Raw genomic sequence first — 20,145 nt, 5'->3', positions numbered from 1 at the left:
TGAGTTTTAAAAGAGAAGCTGAGTTTAAGATTCAGTTGTAAAACTGTGTTTATAAGCACAATTAATTTGTTATTAAAATGTGCTATGTACTTTTTTATTCTATCTCAAACTGACATTCCAAATTAGTATCTTTGTATAAGTTGAACTTTTTGTGACTACCTATCCAAATACGCATGATGTTTTTACACGGAAACATTGATCTAGTCTACTTAAGTTTCAATTTCTGCTATTTTGTGGATCATAATTTTTCTTTAAAAGTGACAAACATTGTTTCCTTAGGAATGTGGAAACTATCCAGGATTCCTTACCATATTACGGGCAACTGGATTTGATGGTGGAAATAAGGCTGATCAATTAGACTATGAAAATTTTCGACATGTTGTACATAAATGGCATTACAAACTAACCAAGGTAAAAAAAAAATTGGATTTTTCAAAGGCAAATTTTTCTCTGTATACTTGTGCTTTTATAATAATGGATCTGAAAATGTTTGTTGTAGGCATCGGTACATTGCCTTGAAACAGGCGAATATACTCACATCAGGAATATCTTGATTGTGCTAACAAAAATACTTCCTTGGTACCCAAAAGTTTTGAATCTGGGTCAAGCTTTGGAAAGAAGAGTACACAAAATCTGCCAAGAAGAAAAAGAGAAGAGGCCAGATCTATATGCATTGGCTATGGGGTAACAAAATTATATTTTAATGTGATTTACAAGACTAGATGACAGAAGGATTCTGAAGACTTTAAAATGTTTTACAGTGTTGAAGTTTATCTTCTGCCTTCAGGAGATTATGGGAGATTATGCGATCATGTTTCCACAGGCTGGTGAGAGTTACCACTTCTGATTATCAACTTCCGGTCTATACTGGATGATAGTTTTTTTAAAGTCATGTATAATATTTCTTGATTGGGAGGAAATATAATTTTATCATCATAGTTAACAGATCTTCAAGAGTAAAAAAAAAAAGCCATCTTAGTTTAAGGATTAGTTTATAGTGAAATTGTAATTTTTAAGAAAGCTGGGCGTTCTATAAAAACCTTCAAGAACTTATTAAAAATTGGTATTTTTTAATTCTCTAGAACCACATAGTAGAATGAATAACTTGCTAATTTTATTCTTAAAAACCTCATGTTTATGTTTTTTGATTTGTGTTTGTATATTTAAACACTTTGTGCGACTTTCAGCTACTCTGGGCAGTTGAAAAGTAGAAAGTCATACATGATACCTGAAAATGAGTTTCATCACAAAGACCCCCCTCCGAGGAATGCAGTTGCCAGTGTGCAAAATGGGCCTGGTGGTGGGCCTTCTTCATCATCAATAGGAAGTGCATCTAAATCGGATGAAAGCAGTACTGAGGAGACTGGTATGCTTATTTGTAGAAACTTATAAGTAATATATTTTATTTCAACAAAGTGAAATGTTTTGTATCACAGAACGAGTACAATGCTGGCTTAGTATTACTTTTTATTCCCTAGATAGGAGTATATAAGCGTTAAGAAGTAATCAGCTTGCTGTTTCTTTCTAATTATTCTCTAATCATTTTGCTCTGAAATTGTAGCTTATTTACATTTAGGGGCTTGTTAAATAAAACCTTACTTTTATTTCAGATAAATCAAGGGAGAGATCTCAGTGTGGTGTGAAAGCTGTTAATAAAGCTTCTAGTACCACACCTAAAGGGAATTCAAGCAATGGAAATAGTGGCTCTAACAGGTAGGAACACTGTGCCATGTGTCATAATTCTAAATTCTTTTTAAAAATGATTTTTATGTATTTTTTTGAGACGGGGTTGGTCTTGCAATGTTGCCCAGGCTGGTCTCGAACTTCTGGCCTCAAGCGATCCACCTGCCTTGGCTTTCCACACTGCTGGAATTAGAGGCATGAGCCACTGCACCTGGCCCTCATAATTCTAAATTCTTCTATGAGTCCTCATGAGTAGAAGGGGAGTGGTTGTTGAGTAATGTGAAAAGTCATTTATGTTGGGCTTTGAAATTTTGTATGTACCCTATTTTGCTGATACGCTTTACATCCTAATTATGTTTTGTATAGTTATGCTTGTATAACGACTTTGTTTCTCCTTCTGGGATATTCAGGGGAATGTAGGTGTGAAGTTAAACAAATATTTTAGGATAGAGGGATTGCTGTGGGTTGAAGCGATTCTTGTGCTTCAGCCTCCCTAGTAGCTGGGATTACAAGCGTGTGCCACCACTCCCGGCTAATTTTTTGTGTGTTTTTAGTAGAGACAGGGTTTTGCCATGTTGACCAGGCTGGTCTCAAACTCCTGGCCTCACGTGATTTGCCTGCTTTGGCCTCCCAAAGTGCTGGATTATAGGTGTGAGCCACCGTGCCCGGCTAATACATCTTTTAAATCTGCAATTAATGAATTTGTTTATGATTTACTGGATAAAGAAATACTTCCTTTTTTCGAGAAGGAGTCTTGCTCTGTCACCCAGGCTGGAGTGCAGTGGTGTGATTTTGGCTCACTGCAACCTCTGCCTCCCAGGTTCAAGTGATTCTCTTGCCTCAGCCTCCAGAGTAGCTGGGATTACAGGTGCCCGCCACCATGCGCAGCTAAGTTTTTTGTATTTTTAGTAGAGACGGGGTTTCACCATGTTGACCAGGCTGGTCTCGAACTCCTGACCTCAAGTGATCCACCCTCCTCAGCCTCCCAGAGTGCTGGGATTACAGGCGTGAGCCACTGCACCCGACCATTACTTCTTCCTTTTTCCTTGTCTTAAAGTTGTCCTTTAGTTTTCAAAGGACTCCCCCTTAGTTCTAGTATTTTTGAAGTTAGTAAGAAACCCTTTATGATATATTTTATCATATATCAAAGGATATATTTTATGATTATTTGTGTTAAAATCCCATGTTTTTATTCTTAAGCAACAAAGCTGTTAAAGAAAATGACAAAGAAAAAGGGAAAGAGAAAGAAAAAGAGAAAAAAGAAAAGACTCCAGCTACTACTCCAGAGGCCAGGGTACTTGGTAAAGATGGTAAAGAAAAACCAAAGGAAGAGCGGCCAAATAAAGATGAAAAAGCAAGAGAGACCAAGGAAAGAACGCCGAAGTCTGACAAAGAGAAAGAAAAATTCAAGAAGGAAGAAAAAGCTAAAGATGAGAAATTTAAGACCACTGTCCCCAACGCAGAATCAAAATCAACTCAAGAAAGGGAAAGAGAGAAGGAGCCATCCAGAGAAAGAGATATAGCAAAGGAAATGAAATCAAAGGAAAATGTTAAAGGAGGAGAAAAAACACCAGTTTCTGGGTCCTTGAAATCACCTGTTCCCAGATCAGATATTCCAGAGCCTGAAAGGGGCAAGTTTACCTTTCTTTATACGTTCTTACGTTTTGTTATTTTAATGTATAGTTGGTTATTGTCTCCTTGTTTTGGTAAGTTATATAGGGGTTTTGCTAGGGGAACTTGTCATACAAGTTGGTGTTTTTTTTTAAGTGTTTGGAAAACTAGAAATGTACCTTATTCTGACTATTTCTTTTTGTCTTAACAGAACAAAAACGCCGCAAAATTGATACTCACCCTTCTCCATCACATTCCTCCACAGTAAAGGTTAGTATAGCCTGAGGAAGGCAGCGTCCATGTTAGGCTCACCTGTTTGGAATACCAGTGTCCTGACTTCCTTCAAGTCTTATGCCAAGCATTCACTGGAGCCACTGGAGGTTTTATATTGCATTAGAAAATGAATTTTTCTATATTGGTGGACTGATTTTTTTTCCTATTGAGTATTTTTATTATAAAAATGTTAAAACTTCAAGGACTTAGCACTAATTTTGTAGTGTTTCAAAGTGCAAGAGAAATTTTACCCAGAAGTGCCTCAACTGCTTTAAGCAGTCTTTTTTGGAGTGCAATGGTAGCTACAAGCAAACGAATCTTTTCAGCAGAATGAAGCCTATTTTTCAGCATATTGAAGAATATATAGCACTGAAGACTTCCTGGATGACACAAGATAAACAAGTTACCTCTGAATTCAAGCTTCTTGATGAGCATCATACCGATGTGTGCCTTCTAAGAAGGAGTCTTGAAAGGAGTTCCATTTTAAAGTCTCCTTGGTGATCAGTTCTCCTGTAGTTGTGTATATTCAGTGAGCATGCAGCTTCTGTTGTATCTTCCCTTGGAGGTTTGTTTATACCCATTGGGTTCCCAACAAGTTGAACCTTGCGTTACGATAAAAGCAGATGTGGCATCCAATCCTACCACCCAGCAAAGAGAAACCCCAGGCATTCAACTGCAGCACAAAATCGTGGGTGTAGCCTTCTTGAAGACTCAGGGTAGCCATTCCTTGCTCCATATTTAATTTTAATTCTAAAGTCATCTAATTTCATGGAATCTTTGAATTTGCAGTACGTTGAACTTTTAAAAAACTGTAAGTTATTAATTGTTCATCAAGAGCACTGTGGTGGAATATCGTAGTTGATTTCTTTTTCTTTCTTTTTTTTTAATGCTTTCTTTGTGTGTGGGAGGTGTGAGATTCACCATGATAGGCACTTTGCAGAAAAAAAAAGTGATTACTCTTATATATTTTGTTTTCTTGTTAATACAATGCCACTGAATTTTTCAGCTAGGATGTGTATATTCATATTAGAGTTAAAAATAAAGTAAAATGTGAATCCTCCCAATTAAAGAAGAACTATGAAAAATATAAGGCAATGTTGTTCTTCCACAGTGACCTCCAGTATTTTAAATTTTTTGTGGAGAAAAAAATGTTTTGCTTTCTTAAACCTCTTAACTATAGCTTAAGTAGAGAGATATGAACAATGTGGCATTGACATTTATTTTTAAATTCTGAGCAGAGAAAGATTTTTATTTCTTACATTGAGTACATTTAATTTAGTTTTTAACATTCCAATTCCATTACATGTTTTTTTTTATTGTTGATATTCATATTGATAATGACATCATGAAATTTATCCTCACAAGAAGTAGCTGGTTTATTTCCAGGTTACAGCCATACTTCCCAAAGTTCCTCTGGGTTCTGAGAACTATGCCAGCTCACCTGTCATCTCCATTCATTTTCTACAGGACAGTCTCATCGAACTCAAGGAATCTTCAGCAAAGGTTTGAGTCTTTTAAAATCATCATGCCTAAGTAAACCAAATGTTCTTTACTTATTTTATTTAGTAGATGTCCTCACCCTAGTACATTCAGTAAGCTGAGATCAGTGGGATAAAGTACTCTGCTTACATTGAATAACCTTCAAAAATATTAAATGTTAAAACTGAAACAACAGATGACAGTGGTCCCTTTTAATGAGATTGTTATAAAATGTGTGTAATGTGGCAACATTTCTATCATCTCTCCTTGCTTGCTGTGTTATACCTTCTCCTTTTATGCTTTTTCAAAATCTGGAAATAAGTTTAACATTCGGGGAAGAGGTTATTTGATTGTTTTGGGTTTATTTAATTTTTCAAAACAAATCTGCCAGGCTGTCTGACTGTTTAGACAACCCAAAATACCAAAAAATAAATTTGATGCATTCACATATCTGTTTTAAAAATGGAACTCATCTCAATCTATAAAAATTCTTTATATATCCTCTGCTGAGGTACCTTTTTGGTAGTTACAGCACAATATCAGGAGATACTGTTAATGTGAAAGAATCATTCCCCTGGACAGGAATACTCGGTGGTTGTGTTTACATGTCAGTATTAATTCTTACCTATTATTCTACTTTCTTGAGTATTCTGCTACTAAAAGTAGTGTGCAGTTTGTGTATCTTATTACAGAGTTTATTTCAGTATTATACTTGAATTGTCCATTGTTCATGTTGTTTTGTCTTTGTTATAAAACGTGTACCCTTCTTTGATTTTCTACTTTGCCTCCTCTTACAAGCTACAAGCAAATGAATCTGCTCAGCAGAATGAAGCCTATTTTTCAGCATAAATATTGCTTGCCATGATTAAAATAGAAATCAGCTAAGCATGATTTCTTTACTGGTGGACCAAATGAAATTTTGAAACAGAGCCAGTTGACATTACTAACTGCTTTTAGATGTATAGATTTATAATGAAATGTCTGTGGATATTGGGCAAATAAGGCACTAATTTTTAAGTTTATATTAGCCAGTGTACCTGTGTCCTAAAATTGTAGCATTGTTTTTTAGAATATACTATATTAATCAAAAGTCTCAGCTATGCTGGGAGAAGTTCCATTTAGTTTTATTTTTTTTCTGATTTGAATGGATGTTTTATTTGAAGTAGATATCGGGGTTATTCTGTAATACGCTATTGAAGAACAAGCCGAAATAACACATTAGACACAACATCAACCTAATGACATTATTTTTGAAAATTCTAAACGTCCAACGTATTTTTGTTTTTTTGCTGTTAGCCATAACGTCACAATACTAACAGAGTTCTCCATACCTAGTAGGAGTTACAAAAATGTTGATATCAGGTTGGAATTATATACCGCTATTTATTATTACATGGGATTATTATTTAAAATGATGTTCCTATTTAGGTTAGTTTTGGAAAACTTAATTTATATTCCATTTCAATTTTGATATCTATAGAACTTTCATTTAATGTAAACTTTTTATTGGCTAACTTAAATATATACTGCAATATAGTAGGTTTTTATAACCAGTTTCAAATTGTTTATGTCAGTCTTAACCATCAGTGGCTTCTATGGGCTATTTTAAATTAATGGGCTAACAGTGTTAACTTCTGAATATTTGTTTACTGAAACATACTTTGAAGCAGTTTGTAACCTGCTGTTAAAATTAACTGGATTTTCTAATCGATGATGGTTCCTCACATTTGTGAAAAGGCCTTTTGAATATATGTACTATCTCATTTCATGCTCATAACAGTGCTGTGAGGTAGACAGGGCAGGTGGATAGTGTCTTTTTGACAAATGAGAGACTAAAAGTTCTTTAGCTTTCCCAGTTACATAGAATTTGTTAGTATCAAAACATGAACTAAAATTAAGGTTTCTTGATTCCTAGCACCACCCATTTCAACAATAGTTGAGAGGGTTTTTCTAGCTCCTTTAGTGTGCTTGCCTTGGTTTTTAAAAATTACAGTGATTCAAGTCAGTCTCCCACATCCCTCCTTTTTAAAAATGGTGTTTTGCAGGCCTTTAAAATTTAATTAATTTATTCCACATGCAACCAGAAAAATTTGAAAATGGCATATACATATGCTTCTAAAAACTGTGTGACTCCTACTACTTTTCAGATCTTTAGTGCTTAGCATGGTGCCTGGCAGTAAGGTTAGGTATTCAATAAATACTTGAAGTGATCTCTTAAGCCTTTGCACTTTGGTAAAGCATGCAAAGTACTGGTTTGCATAGTAGCTGATGTTGCATTTTTATGTGTCTAGAAAGTTTAATAGCATATGAATGTCTTAGAAAAAAAATTTCACTGGACTTTGAGTGATCTCCAAAGTTGATTATCTTTAGCCTGTTTCTGAGGTAGCTTTTACTTTCTAGAGGGTTTGGAAGATACGCATCTATTTTCATATTATCTTGTCACTTGTACCTATAAAATTCTCTCCCTGCTTTAGTTTGACTTTTTAGTTATGCGTTTTCTGTGGGATTCTCTTTATTATTTATTTGCTATTTTTACTTTCTAATTTGTGGTAAAAGCAATACATGGATTTTAGCTTTTCAAATGAGATTAACTAAAAGAAGAAAAATCTAGCTTAGTATCCAAATCTTTTCTGTCAGTTCACCCTTTACCCCTAATTTCCAAATAGTGTATTTCTAGTTTTGATCAATTGTGTTTTGATGTAGCAATTCTAGCAGCTACTTTTGATGAAGATAGTGTTAAAAAAAAAAAAACAAAAAACAGGTTCCATTAATCAGCCTCTCTCTAATTTAGGAGGGCATCAGTAACCACCTCAAGACAGAATTTAGCTTTCAATTTGTTCACCATCTTAAAATGAGGATTTACAGCCAAACCCAAGCCTAAAAGTGAGGCCATCTTTATATAATATAGTGAAGCTTTAATAAAGTCAGTGGAGCAGAGTTTTCTGAAACAGATTTTGAAAATCAGTCAAATTCTTTTTTGGACCTTAATGATCCGAATGTCAAGAATAAAAGCCAATCAAGAACAAAACCCAGCGATGCTACATACAAATCCATTTAATGAATCCTTAATTTTATTTGTCAAACTTGTATTGAGTATTCACTGTGTGTACAAGGAACTAGGAAGTATGTAAAAGTAGAAAGGCACCTTAGCTCTTCTACCATACTGGAAACTGTTATGGACAAAAATGTATGACATGAAGTTAATAGGGAGCACTTGTCCTAAAAAAAAGGTAAATATAAAATAATGTAAAGTGAGTTGCAGAGTTGAGGGATGGTTGAGTGCTGTTGACTTTGGCCATCTTTGAAGGCTAAGTAGGATTTTAAGAAGTTAAGATAAAAATGAACAACCATTCTAGTAATGAGAACTGCTGGAAAGGACAGATGTTAGGGAGCAGTGATAGCCACAGCATAGAATGCATTGGGTTACTATAGCAGGATATAATTGTGAAAAGATGGTGGAGAGTTTGGAATGCCTAAACTAAGGGGTATGCATTTAATTCATTAGGCAATGAGAAACTCTGTTTTTATGCAAAAGAGTATTTGATCAGAACTATTCTAAAGAAGGAATTGAATTGGGTACATTCTGAACTAAGAATTTCTGATTGTCAGTTGAGCTATGTGACTTTTTATGTCAAGAATGAAGTATTTGAACATTAATGCCAGAAGTAAGTTCTAGAAAAATTTCTCAATTCCTCACAGTACAGAAAGTAAGCACAGTTCAAAACTTCATTATTAATAAGGGTTGTGTGTGTGTGTGTGTGTGTGTGTATTTTTTTTTTTGCTTTTATTGGGAAAAATTACTACTTAGAGAAGTCTTCTTTGAGTATTGCAGCAATATTTCCTTTGTCTTAATCATTTTCATAAATAATGTTAAGATATGAATAAACCTCACGATTAGAAAAATCTTGATGTCATTTAAGGCATTCTAGCCAGCAAGAGTATCTTTTAGACAAGTATTTTTATGACTATCGTTCTCTTGCTCTTTATTAATAAGCATTTTGTCTATTTCAGTTTATCAACTTTTAAACATTGAAATTTTAAAGAATCTACTTCTGCATTGCTATGGCAGTATTTCTGAGCCAACTGAATTGAAAATGTTTGGTGGTGTTAAAAAATAAGTGTTTAATTCTCAAACTGATGGTTTTCATTTTTCATGTATTCCTTTGAATACCAAAGGATTTCTTCATGTAAAAATATTTGACTTTTGACTCACTATTCTATTTGTTCCTAAGGTGTATCTAGCATTGTGTAGTTATGTAATGAGTTATATTCAGTATTCTGCTGCATAATACTTTTAATGTCTTAAATTAAACATAGGCTTGTAGCACAGATATAAATGCCGTAAGGTTAGGTATCTGATTATTTCCTGACTACTTCCTAAATATTTTATGTTACAGCATATTTCCATATTTACAACTCACCTAAGAAGGGTTATCTCTCAATTATTTAGTTAGAATATCCTTGATGATTGGCTGTTTTATTGCGTATAGCCCTTTTGGCAGAGAAAGAATAGGCAGAGGAGAATATTGGTTCATTATTTTTTAGTCTTTTGAATTGTTTAGTCATCCTCAGCTGACTAGATGGCTTTCTGAGGTATTTAGAACCAGGAAGACAAATTTCACAGTTAATTGTGATTATTTTGATAGAAATTGGAGTGCTTTCAGAAGTAGAGAACATGCAGCCTTTACATTTGTAAAAATAATTTGAGATAATCTTTGCATGGTTCACACTGAGGCAGAAAAGAATTATTAGCAAAATCATAGCTAGGTTTTATTTTTATACTTTTGCCCATTGCCATTATTGACTGCCTATCGGTGGATGGTAAGACTATTTAAAATTTCCATGATTGTGTAGAGGTGTTTTTTTCTTTTTCTTTTTTTTTTTAAACAGTAGAGAAACTCCAGTCACTATTGTTCATATATGGACTCTTGTAATGGTGGTTATAGGTCTTTACAATAGAGCTATAAGGAATACTCTAGCTTGTGAATTTACTAATGAGTCTCAGTTGAGGCACAAATGAACTGATGGAGTTTAAATGGTGATTTTTATAAGGCCAAGAATTGAAGCCTTTGTATAATTTGTGCCATGCCCTTTTATTTTACCTCTTGTAATCCAGATAGCTGACCAGTTTTTACTTTGGGTATAATTCCCAATTGTGTTTCATTTAGTAAACAAACAAGTGATGCCAATACTGGAAAACTAATAATCTTTAGTAATATTGCCTTAATTTAACAGCTCTACATTAATCATACTCCTCCACCACTGTCCAAGAGTAAGGAGAGAGAAATGGACAAGAAAGATTTGGACAAGTCAAGGGAAAGATCCAGAGAAAGAGAGAAAAAAGATGAAAAGGACAGGAAAGAGCGGAAAAGGGTTTGTAAAATTTTTTTTAAACTAGTTTGGAAAGCTCATTATCATGTACACCAGTGTGTATGTTGCCTTTTAAAAAATACTAGTTTGTTCCATAGTAGTCTGTTATTTCATGATTTTATTGATATTTTTACCCTGAAGTGTTTGCATTTTCTACGTTAATAAGGATCTTCAGCCTAGTAATCTCTGTCAGCTCTGCTTGTCTTTCATGCCATTTTACCAAGTATGTGAAACTACTGCAAATACTCTCCATTGCTAGTTAGCTGTGCCCTTCTCATATAAAAGTAATACTTTAAAACAAAAACAGAAGCCCTTGGTCAATGTAGTTCACAATTCTTGGTTCTAGGATCACTCAAACAACGACCGTGAAGTGCCACCGGACTTAACCAAGAGACGTAAAGAGGAGAATGGAACAAGTAGGTAGACTTATTCATATCTTTGAAGATATCATCGAAGTGAATTGGAAAAGGCTTTCATGATTTTCTTTTGTAATTTTAGTGGGGGTTTCAAAACATAAAAGTGAAAGTCCTTGTGAATCTCCTTATCCAAATGAGAAAGACAAGGAAAAAAATAAGTCAAAATCTTCAGGCAAAGAAAAAGGCAGTGATTCATTTAAATCTGAGAAGATGGATAAAATCTCCTCCGGTGGCAAAAAGGTAAATTAGGAAAATAAAGGAATAATATGCTTTATCTTAAAAAAATCAATCCTGAAAATTTAGCAAATATTGAATTTTTTTCCTAGTCCTATAGTCTTTTGTTCATTATTTAGGAGTGGGAAGAAGAGGTATTGAGGGAGGGCATTCCGTTTGGGGAATTTGAGTCAGTTCAGTCCCAGATTACCAGGAGGGTAGAGTTAGTATACCTCTGAGATTCCTTTCCCCTCTCCATTCCATTCCCACCTACTTCTGTTGATTGAGTTTCAGCTGTTCTTTGCATTTTCTTTTTTCTCCACCAACTCTTTGCTTTTAGTTTCTCTTTATTCCTGAGATTAAAATATGGTCACATGTATTCTCTCTGACCATCATAGCATCATAAAGTCTTGATTGTGATTTGAAACATTTTTGTAACGTTTTCTCCTAATAAACTCATTTGTTTGATACTTGTATTTGATTTAAAAATTGAGTATAAGATACATTCTCTTACATATTAATGGTTGATATTTAAAGTGAATCTCACGCATCTGCCATAAAGTAATAAGCAAGCCATTACTAAAGTATAAATTGTTTCCAAAACATTGTTATATATATTGAAAATATATGCCATTTATTCATAGTTCATAAAAACAGCTCTAGAAAATTATATAATGAACATTTTAATTCTATGCTTTAAAAGATAGGCTGTTCTTTTAGGTGTTTTTTAATTGAGGTAAAATTCAAATAACATAAAATTAATCATTTTACAGGTGTACATTTAAGTGACATTTAGTATATTCACAGTATTGTGTAATCATCTCTATCTAGTTCCAAAACATTTTTATCACCTCCAAGAGAAAACTCTATACCCATTTAAACAGTCACTCCCATTTCCCCTTCTCAGCCCCTGGGAACCATAAATCTGTTTTCTTTATGGATTCACTCATTCTGAATATTTTATATAAATGAAATAGTACAATAATGTGCCCTTTTGTGTCTGATGTCTTTCACTTAGCATAATGTTTTTGAAGTTCTTCCATGTTGTAGCATGTGTCATTTACTTCATTTCTTTTTATAGCTAAGTAATATTTCATTATATGAATATACCACATTTGTTTATCCATTTTTCAGTTGATGGACTTTTGAATTGTTTCCACGTTTTGGCTATTGTGAATAGTGCTGCTGTGAACATTTGTGTGGGGCTATAAGTATTTGTTCAAACACCTATTTTTAATTATCTTGGATATATGCCCAAGAATGGAATTTCTGGGTTATATGGTAATTCTATGTTTAACTTTTTGAGGAACCACCAAAATCTTTTAGACAGTGGCTGTACAGTTTACATTTCTACCAACAAAGTATCAGAGTGCAGATTTCTCTACATCTTTGTCAACACTGGTTATTTTCTGTTTTTGTTTTTTATTATAGCCATTCCAGTAAGTGTGAAGTGGTGTCTCATTGTGGTTTTGATTTGCATTTTCTTAATAACTAATGATGCTGAACATCTTTTCATGTGCTTATTGGCCATTTGTTTATCTTTCAAGAAATCTGTTCAGATACCTTGACCATTTTTTATTTTGAGGGTTTGTGTTTTTGTTGCTCAGTTGTAAGAGTTCTTTATGTACTTTGGATACTAGATCCTTATGAGATAGGTGATTTGCAAATTTTTTCTCCAGTTCTATAGGTTGTCTTTTCACTTTCTTGATAGTGTTCTTTGATGCATGAATGTTTTTACTTTTGATGAAGTTCAATGTATCTATTTTTTTCCTTTTGTTGCTTATGCTTTTGGTGTCATGTTAAGTAAGTTTTTGAAGACAAATATAGCTCGCGGGTGATGAAAAGGGGTTTTGAGCTGGCTTTTATATTTGGCTTTCCCTTCCCCAGCTAATTCTACTATTTCTTATAGGAGTCCAGGCATGATAAAGAAAAGATAGAAAAGAAAGAGAAACGGGACAGTTCAGGAGGAAAGGAAGAGAAGAAACAATATCCTTTTCATTTTGATGTTTTCAGTTAGTGTAGTAGAAAGCTTTGATACTGGTCATGTTTACAATTGTACTCTTTTAGTATGTGGTTTATATGCTTAAGGGCTGATTAGTTTTGAAATGGTCTTTCCAGTTAACTCTCAAAATGTGTGAAATCTGGAAGTGGGATACTTGATGTTCTTGATATTTAAAAATACTTCTGTGGTGACTGAGATGTTTTATGCCACTAAGGGATTTATAGTCTTTCAGGTTATATTATCACAGAGAGGAAGAAAGGGAACAGAGAGTCCCTAGGGCTGGGGACATTGGGAATAGAAGGGCAAAATGATGAGTCAGACAAGCAGAGCTGGTAGAGTTTGAGGCTACCAGGCTGGTCAGAGCCCATTTAGGCCTGCAACCTGAGGTGCTGTACTAAAAGGGGAGATGCTGTTCTTTCCGCCATTCCCAAAAGTTGTTTTCCCTTAATTTGTCATCTACTCATAAGTCCTCGGACAAGCACAGATAATGAAGACTTTCCATCAAGGTGAGTGTTCTCTCACCACCTTTTCACTTAATGATAGAAACATAAAATGAGTTCTGATAATGTTGAAAAACTAGATGCATTTTACAAGCTACAACTACTTGTTTTTTTCACCTAAATATAACGACCAAGTCTTCGGGTATAGATGCAAAACAAGATTCAGAGTTATTTTTAAGCTGTTTTCATTTTAAGCTTGCTGATTAGCCACACATTTTTTTTTTAAGCACCAAGATATATTTAAGAACATCTGGCTTTCTCTTCACCACTTATTCCCATCTTCTCTGGATAATTAATTATGTTTTTAAAGTCCTTATTGCCTTGTAAATGGTGGTAGTGGTATCTGCATTTTATAAGTGAAGAAACAGACTCTGAGAGGTTAAGTTGAAGAGGGTCATAAAGATATTAGTCAACAGAGCCAGTTGACTATCCTCAGTCTTTCTATCCTTTAGTGTTCTCTGTTCCTTTTGCTTTCTCATGCTGATGTCTTATCCAAAGATTTTTAAGTTTTCGTGCCATTTTTTTTTTTTTTACCACTGCCCATGTTTTGCAACAGAAAATATGGTCTGTGTTTTTAGTTCTGGAATTTACAATGTGTAACTTTTTTTTTCTTTTTTTTTCTTTTTTTAGGTAATGCACTTAATGCTTTATGTGAGATTTAAAAAGTATTTTACCCATCTTAAATAAATTGTGTTTCCATCATAGTGGATACAGTGTTCAGACCCTAACATCGCCTTTTTTGAGCACTTAAGATAATCTGAATAGTTACTGTTTGGTGATGCCTTAGTATTATTGAAGTACGTAGGACAATTTGCCCCCTAAATGTAATGGTTCCAGACAGCTGTGTTTTGAGGCTGTTGATTCTGCCTTTATTTTTTTATTTTTATTTTTTTTTGAGACAGAGTCTCACTCTGTCGCCCAGGCTGGAGTGCAGTGGCGCGATCTCAGCTCACTGCAACCTCTGCCGCCCAGGTCCAAGCGATTCTCCTGCCTCAGCCTCCTGAGTAGCTGGGATTAGAGGCGCCTGCCACCGCGCCCGGCTAATTTTTGTATTTTTAGTAGAGATGGGGTTTCACCATGTTGGCTAGGCTGGTCTTGAACTCTTGACCTCGTGATCCACCTGCCTCAGCCTCCCGAAGTGCTGGGATTACATGTGTGAGCCACTGTGCCTGGCCGACTCTGCTTTTTTATAGCCCGTTTTCTTGCTTCCATGTTAGCCATCATTTCTTAATATATTAAGTATACTTGCTTTTCTATACTTCGTTAATATATTAATTAATTAAGTATCCTTGCTTGTCTATACCTCCCCCCTAATATTATTGGATGCTTCTAATCTTTTATGAGACCAGATAGATAACCAAGGCTGTTTACCAGTGTTTAAATTACAAGTGAGAAATGTCTGAGAGCCAGTTCTGTATAAGGGTATGGGCTTAAAGGTATGGATTTTGTCATCTTTATTTTGGCTGCAAAGCAGGGATTCGAGAGGTTGCCTTATAGTCAACACATGATGAATGGTGTGCTTTTCCTGCTTTTTTGGTGCTTGCTATGTAAGTAGATTAGGGTAAAGTAGGGTAAATGAGAGTTATAAAAGAACATTTCGAATTTAATAGATTTAAAAGGAAATATTACTGCTAATTCTTCAATTCTAGCTGCTCCTACCCCCATCCCAACCTTACAACTATCTTCTCTGGTGAGCCATAAACTCTTAATCCTCATTTTAACCTTTCTTTTAATCTGGCATTTTGCTGTCACATGTGGTCTCCCTATTAAAAGAAAAACAAAAAGCCCACCTTTCATATCTTCATGAGGAATGAGCCAGCCATTGTCACTGACAACTTTCACAGTGATTTTATATATCTCTGTTTACTCAGTACCCAAATATTATTCTTTTGTATGTGAAGGTTATGCTACAGATTTGAGTTTTTCTTGCACTGACCATGAATTTGTATTTTACCCCTCTGTGTAATCTCTTAGGAACAAAGGGATGACAAAACTGGTCAGGGTTAGATATTTGGCTCGTGGTCTTATAGCAAAACTTCTAGATTCAGATGTTCTTTTAAAAGTATGTCTAGCTGGATGTCCATCCTGTTGAATTCCTCATTGACAACTTTGTACGATACTTTCTTCTTGGGTAGACTCTTAATTTTGTGAGACTCTGGTTGATAGTTTCTTTTCTTTTGAGACAAAGAAGTCTCGCTGTTTTGCCCAGGCTGGAGTGTAATGGTGCGATCTTGGATCACTGCAACCTCTGCCTTCCAGGTGATTCTCCTGGTGATTCTTCAAGAGATTCTCCTGCCTCATCCTCCTGAGTAGCTGGGATTACAGGCACGCACCACCATACCTGGCTAATTTTTGTATTTTTAGTAGAGACAAGGTTTCACCATGTTGGCCAGGCTGGTCTTGAACTCCTGACCTCAGGTGATCCACCTGCCTTGGCCTCCCAAAGTGCTGGGATTACAGGTCTGAGCCACTGTGCTGGGCCATCTGGCTGATAGTTTCTTTTTTTTTTTGTTTGTTTGTTTTGAGATGGAGTCTCACTCTGTCGCCCAGGCTGGAGTGCAATGGTGCAATCTTGGTTCACTGCAATCTCTACCTCTCGGGTTCAAGCGATTCTCCTGCCTCACCCTCCCTAGTAGTTGGGACTACAAGCACGTGCCACCACGCCTGGCTAATTTTTGTATTTTTAGTAGAGACGGGGTTTCACAATGTTGGCCAGGCTGGTCTTGAACTCCTGACCTCAGGTGATCCACCTGCCTCGGCCTCCCAAAGTGCTGGCATTACAGACGTGAGCCACTGTACCTGGCCGATAGTTTATTTTAAAACAAAAAAAAATTTTAAATGGAAACGGGGTTTCGCCATGTTGCCCAGGCTGGTCTGAAACTCCTGGACTCAAGCCATCTGCTTGACTTGGTCTCCCAATGTGCTGGGATTGTAGGCATGAGCTGCCATGCCTGGCTGATAGTTTCTTTTTCTGGCTGTTGACTGCTACTTTCTATTTGGATACATTCCAGGGTTGGTCAGGTCTGTTTTTCTTCCTTTTCTTTAAGAATGTTATCATATCTGATTGGAACCGTCTATTTACAGGCTACTTTGAAATCTGCTGCCCTCCCCCACTCACCTTTTATTTTCTATTCTATAGAAAGGACAGCTCTTACATATGTCATATTTCCATGATTGAAAGATGTCGTTACTTGTAAGATTTCATTATTGTTTTTAGAACAGTTTTTTTAAGGAGGGTTGGTAGAGAAATGACAGTGATTTGTAAGTATCATCCTGATTTTCACAAACATTAAAATAATCACATTAGAATTAAGATACAAGGCCAGGCATGGTGGCTCATGCCTGTAATCCTAACACTGTAGGAGGCTGAGGCAAGAGGATTGCTTGAGGCCAGGAATTTGAGATCAGCCTGGGCAACATAGTGAGACCCCATTTCTAATAAATAAATAAATAAATAAATAAATAAATAAATAAATAAAACTTAGCTAGGCATGGTAGTATGCACCTGTAGTACCAGCTCCTTGAGAGTCTGAGGCAGGAGGATTTCCTGAGCACAGGAGTTCGAGGCTGCAGTAAGTCATGATTATGCCACTGCACTCCAGCATGGGTGACAGAGCAAGACTCTGTCTCTTAAGAATTAAGAAGATAACAGTATATAAATATGACCATAATTAAATTCCTTCCAGTCTTCTGTCATCTTTTCTCGTCTTCTGTTTTTGGTTGCAAAACTCTGTTCCTTCTCTGCATCTTCTGTTGCCCTTAAAGTCTTTGTACAAATTCATCTTGCCTCTCCTTGATTTAGTCTCTTGAAGATTACTAGTTCCTTTGCCTTTAACCTTCCTTCCTACTTTAACTTTTTTTTTTTTAATTCCTGCTTATAAAATTGTCCTCTGAGAACCACCACCCTTTGGCTTCTCAATTTTAACTTGATATATGTGATCCTCAACTCAGGGATGTTGAGTTCAGCAAACTTTTGAAAGTCCTTTTGTGAACCAAATGCTGTGCTAAGCTGACATTTGCTCCCAGGCCTTGAGATACTCAGTCTCCTTGCTTTTTATTATTTTGGATGTAGGACTTTGATTTTAAAGAACATTAGCAGTTAGCACTACTTATTCATAATCTGTATTTTTAATCTACTACATTCCTATTCTAATCCTCCATTCCAAGAAGGCCAAATATATTTGCAGGTCCATTCCTTCCAGTCTCACATGTGTAACCTAATTTTTATCCTCTAAATCCTACGTTGCAAATTATCAGCCCTTGGGCAGAATGTGGGATGTTAAATGTACTTTATTTTATTTTTCATTTCATTTCATTTCATTTCATTTTTGAGACAGAGTCTCTCTCTGTCACCCATGCTGGAGTGCAGTGGTGCGATCTTGGCTCACTGCAACCTCTACCCCCTGGGTTCAAGCGATTCTCATGCCTCAGTCTCCCGAGTAGCTGGGATTACAGGCATGTGCCACCATGCCTGGCTAATTTTTTTGTATTTTCAGTATAGACGGGGTTTCACCACGTTGGCCAGGCTGGTCTCAAACTCCTGACCTCAAGTGAACCGCCCTCCTTGGCCTCCCAAAATGCTGGGATTACAGGTGTGAGCCACCACGCCCGGCCTGTCTTTCTTTCTTTCTTTCTTTTTTTTTTTTTTTGTAGAGACGAGGTCTCACTATATTGCCCAGGCTGGTATTGAACTCATGGGCTCAAGTAATCCTCCTGCCTCTGCCTCTCAAAGTGGTACGATTACACATGTGAGCCACCACCGCCAGCAAAATGCACCTTCTTAACCTCACACAATATTTCAAAATTTTAAAAATCTGTTTGTTTTTAAAAATCAGAATTGACAAAATCCAAATTTCAGTTTTTCTTGAAGGATTGGAACATCTGGTAACATTGTGTTCTGATTTCTGCATAGCATCATTATGTCCTGATTTCAGCTAGACTTGTCTAGGTGCTGCCCCCCTTTAGAATAGAGCAAGGGCCTTTTTAAAAACAGTTCACCTCCGTCAGTCCCCACTCAGCTCGTTTCTTTTGTTTTCATCACGTTCTTGGCCTTTGTAGACAATTGATTTTGTAATTCCAGCTCTAAGCCTTTTTTTGTTTGTTTGTTTTCCCTTCAGTTCATACTTGGAAACTGACCTCCTAAGCTCCTGAAGATTTCTTGTTTTAGGAATGCATTGCCATTCTGAGGCTTATTCCTAGATGTTGACGATAGGTATTGGTAAAGGGTATGGGATAGGGAACTCATCAATGTTCACATTGATGCCAGAGAAACATTTAATATCTCTGTATAAGTGCAACATTGACTTTTTTTGCCACCAAACACACCATTTTATAGGAAGGGAACCTATACTGATTAAAAGAGCTTGCTTATTTGCTGCAGCATATTTTTTGAGGGCAGATTTAATATGCTCTCATTTTGGTCTGTATGTAGTAACCATTAAATGTATACTAGACTCTTGTAAGGAGCTTGAAATGACAGACACAAATCATTTCTGTCTTCATTATCAACTTTTATACTTAAAAAAAATACTGAGTATAGGTTTTGTGCACTGATATTCATAGGCATGAAAAGTTGAAGAGGGCAGGAGAAATTTTCTATTTCCTTGCTCTTCCACTTACGGTAGAGCAAATATTCATTTATATGCTGTTTTTTAAAATTTTGACATGGGCATGAGCACTTATAAAAGGCTTCCATACAACATTTGCCCTGAGTGTGTCTTTCCCCTACACACATAATTATCCTGAAAAGCATCCCTGGGTGCAGTTAAGTTTCAGCTCAACAGAATCCACGTCTTAACTCTGTTACATTTTATCCACGTGGAACATCTCAGGAACTCTGTTTGCTATAAAGAATTCCTAGGTTGCAGTATAAGGGTAAATGAAGGAGTAAAGTGGATTTAGGATGGCTGTCCCCATGTCTTTCTCATAACTTCTTTCTTCCTTATAAATATTTGTTTGACTTTTTAAATGTCAAGTTCATCTTTATATGCCTTTCTACCTGGGGTTTATGTGAAAAGAACGAGAGAATGAGAATAAAATCCTGACAGTTTCAGACACTAGTAAAAATGCATGGAATGCAGTTCTGGGATGCTTCCTGTGAAGTGAAGACACTTAACCAAAAATAATATATTATTTTGGTGGGCTTGATTTTATAGTTTCTCTTAAAAATTGTTTGGTTGCCATCCAGAGGGCTCTTTTATGAAGAATCTATATAAACTACTAAAACATTTCTTAGGACCTTTTTGGTGAATTTGATCATAAAATTAAAAAGCGTGTATGTGTTTTATAAAGGCATACCTCTGTTAAGAAGGCTGGTTTTATGTTTGCCTTTTCTTCTCTACTTTGATCACCACCCTAGCTGTTCCTTTCTCCAGACCACCTTACTTTTCAAACTTGATTCTTGCTATCACAGCTCTCTGTAACATCAGTTAAAATCAGCTGCCTCAACTCTTTGAGGATGTTTGTGCATAGGACGGCATTGTGAAACATAGGGAAATGGCAGTCTTACTAACAAAACAGGACCTATCTCTGGCCAAAAAGAAAAAAAAAAAACAAACAACTCAGGAGGTCCAGATAATTACCAATATAAAATGGCGTT

The 20,145-nt window shown here is 35.8% G+C and overlaps 1 protein-coding gene across 19 annotated transcripts in view; it reads left to right on the top strand.

Moving 5' to 3' along the window:
• Positions 1-20,145, top strand: part of THOC2 (THO complex subunit 2) — a 132,484-nt gene that overhangs the window by 108,582 nt on the left and 3,757 nt on the right. For 5 of the 19 annotated variants that reach the window (XM_047442267.1, XM_047442263.1, XM_047442264.1 and 2 more), the window contains 13 exons: positions 280-411; positions 500-684; positions 762-827; positions 1,188-1,366; positions 1,611-1,713; positions 2,884-3,314; positions 3,506-3,564; positions 4,954-5,070; positions 10,282-10,419; positions 10,763-10,832; positions 10,915-11,072; positions 12,955-13,031; positions 13,508-13,553. In XM_047442267.1, the coding sequence (XP_047298223.1) occupies positions 280-411; positions 500-684; positions 762-827; positions 1,188-1,366; positions 1,611-1,713; positions 2,884-3,314; positions 3,506-3,564; positions 4,954-5,070; positions 10,282-10,419; positions 10,763-10,832; positions 10,915-11,072; positions 12,955-13,031; positions 13,508-13,535 (1,743 nt within the window). In that variant the 3' untranslated portion in view covers positions 13,536-13,553. Of the gene's footprint in view, positions 1-279; positions 412-499; positions 685-761; positions 828-1,187; positions 1,367-1,610; positions 1,714-2,883; positions 3,315-3,505; positions 4,284-4,953; positions 5,071-10,281; positions 10,420-10,762; positions 10,833-10,914; positions 11,073-12,954; positions 13,476-13,507; positions 13,554-20,145 lie in introns of those variants that run through there. The other 14 variants (NM_001081550.2, NM_001441236.1, XM_017029679.2 and 11 more) reach the window with 6 other exon arrangements.

Source organism: Homo sapiens, chromosome X (assembly GCF_000001405.40).
Source record: "Homo sapiens chromosome X, GRCh38.p14 Primary Assembly".
Taxonomy (NCBI): Eukaryota; Metazoa; Chordata; class Mammalia; order Primates; family Hominidae; genus Homo; species Homo sapiens.
Note: the sequence above shows the minus strand (reverse complement) of the source record. Positions and strands in the feature narration are given on the sequence as shown.